The following is a 3,032-nucleotide window of genomic DNA, read 5'->3' on the forward strand; positions in this document are numbered from 1 at the left end:
TAACTAAAGTCTAATTTTTTAGTTACATATGAAACAGGAAATGTATGAACACATGCCAACAAATCAAATCCAGAGAACACATCAACATAAAGCAAAGTTTAGTGAAGCAAAGCAAATTTTATACAATATCAGGTGACCTATTAATAGTATGCATTATATTTAAAGTACAATGAACGATAAAAAACTTATAAACCCTAAAGAGGAAAAATTAACCAATGGGAAAACACACTATTTGATTTAGACACTATATAGCTACAACAATCAAGACAGAATTATCCTAGTAGAGGAGTAGACAAATAGTATAATAGTACTGAAGAGAGAATGCAGAAATAGACCTACACAAGAATGGCCAACAGATTTTTGACAGAGGTACAAAAGCAATTCAATAAAGAAAGCTCTTCCTTGTAGCGAATTTTGTTGGAACATTTGGACATTCACAGAAAAACAAAACAAAGCAAACCTCAAACTATACTTACACCTTTATACCTTACATAGAATTAATTTAAAATGGATTACAAATGTAAATATAAAAATGTATATAACTTTTAGAAGAAAATATTGAACAAACTCTTTGTGACTTAGGCTTAGATGAAGAGTTCTTAAACATAACACTATAGGCATAATCTACAAAAGAACAAAAGATAAATTATATTTCATCATAATTAGAAACCTTTACTCTGCAAAAGTTTCTGTTAAGAAGATGAAAAGACAAATTACAGACTTGTAAAATGTTGATAAATCACATATTCTTCAAAGGACTTGTATTCAAATATGTAAATTGCTCTCTAGACTCAGTGGTAAGAAAACAAACCTCTAATAAGAGAACCAGAAAAATACTTTTAATATACACTTTACCCAAGAAGATATAAAAATAAAATATCTAACAAATGGAAAGATGTTCAACATCATCAACCATCAGGAAGTTATAAATTACAATCATGATTAAGATACCACTACACAACTGTGAAAATAACTAAAATAGAATATCCTGGGAATACCAAATGCTGATGAGGATGTGGAGAAACTGATTCTTTTATGCACTGCTAGTAAGAATGTAAAATAATATTGCCACTCTGGAAGACAATTTGACATATAAAAAATAAATTTAATCATACATTTACCATATCATATAGCAATCAACCACACTGCTGGTAATTTATTCTAGAGAAATTAAAACTTACATTCACATAAATTCCATATGTAAATGTTCATAGCAGATTTATTTGAAATAGCCAAAAAGTGGAATCAACTTAAATGTCCTTCAATCGGTGAATGGATTAAAATAACATGGTAGATCTAAACAAGGTGATATTACTCAGGAACATAACAGAATGAACTATTAATCCAAGTCATAATGCAGATAGATCTCAGGGTTATTATGTTGAGTAAAACTACTAATGTCAAAGAGTTGCGTATTATATGATTTCATTCATATAACTTTCTCAAAGTGAAAAATTGACAGTGATGGAGAAAAAATCAGTGGGTTCTGATGTTAAGGGTGGGGAAAGAATGCCTTGATTAAAGGTTGACATTGGGGAGTTTGTAATTATGGAATAGTGCTGGGTCCTGATTGTGGCAATGGTTACTTGAATCCACACACATGATAAAATTTCATAGAACTACATACATACATAATAATTGTGCATAAAAGGTAGTAAATGTTGACCTGTATTAGTTTCTTCATGTAGCTTTATCCTACCTCCTATAATAAAGCTAGGAGATTAGGCAGAAGTACTAGGTCAGAACATTGAGAGATAAAAAAAACAAGGACTTGCCAAATCCTATCACCTAAAGCATAGTAAAGCATTGCAAGAATGCTTACTTACTGCATATAAGTAATACTTCCTACTGATGAGATAGAACCACATAGTCTTTTCAAGCACCTTCTATTTACATTCTCTACCAGACTTTATAAAGGGTGAGCCTGCTAGCAAAAATCAGATTAAATAGGGTGCTTTTGTACTTGAGACTGTAATTTCTTATGTTTGTAAGCAGTGGTCATTAACTTAAAGACTGAGGTAATTAACAGAGAATCAAGGGCAGTGGATAAAATGAGCTAGTTTTAGGCTTTTGCAATATGTTTATACAATATTTTGGTTGTGCCTACAAGGAAATAGAGTTGACTAGAAGCAAACAGACCAGAATTTTACTGTGTCTGACTGGGAGTATTCTGTGATTACTCAACCTCTAAGTTTATCCTTTAGTTGCAGGGCTCACACCATCAGGAAGTGGGCTGCAACAGCTATGTAAGGCCCAGGAAGACCATGCCCTCCAAGGTTTCAGATGTGGCCATGAAAGACAAAGGACAGAGAAACCTTGCACTATTGCTACCTTTGCCTGTCATTGGGCACAGTCTGAAGATGTAATGCCTTAAGTAGCTGAGGTAACAAACATGAAAAATATCCAGTCTCCCTGAGGCTAGGGAGGAAGAAGGGCGCTAGACATCAGTTCACACTGATAACATGGAGTTACTAAGGATCCCTGCAATGCCTACCTCAAGCATCACTGGTGACAGAGTGTGCAAACATCGTTCACATTTAATCCATCATTAGGCAGTTTACCGACAAAAAAATATAAAATAAAACCCAAAACAAAGACAAAGACAAAACTCTTAACTGCCACATCTCATGCTCTACATTGTTTTAGCTTGTATGTTCCTTGGTCATTTTACAGTCATTTTAATAGGGACTTAGTTAAAAGGAGGTCGACAAGTGTACACTGTATGCTGTATGAAATAAGAAGCCTAAGAATCAAGCATATAATGAATGTGTTTTTTTTTTTAACCATTGGAGAAAGGATGAGCTAAGGAATACTCTTTGAGATGGGGTTTGCCATTTGAGAAAATGGGGCTCTATAATATTTCACTCAAATGTTATGATTAAATTTTATTCCTGAACTGGCAAACACAGTAATTTGTGAATAAATCAGATAATTTGAGCTTAAGAAAATTTGCCTCTTATTCTAATGATAATTTAGCAAGTCAGTCATTGTAACAGAAACTCACTTGGCTTGAACCTTAGTTTCATTTTCTT

This window comes from Homo sapiens, chromosome 7, assembly GCF_000001405.40.
Source record: "Homo sapiens chromosome 7, GRCh38.p14 Primary Assembly".
NCBI classification, from domain to species: domain Eukaryota; kingdom Metazoa; phylum Chordata; class Mammalia; order Primates; family Hominidae; genus Homo; species Homo sapiens.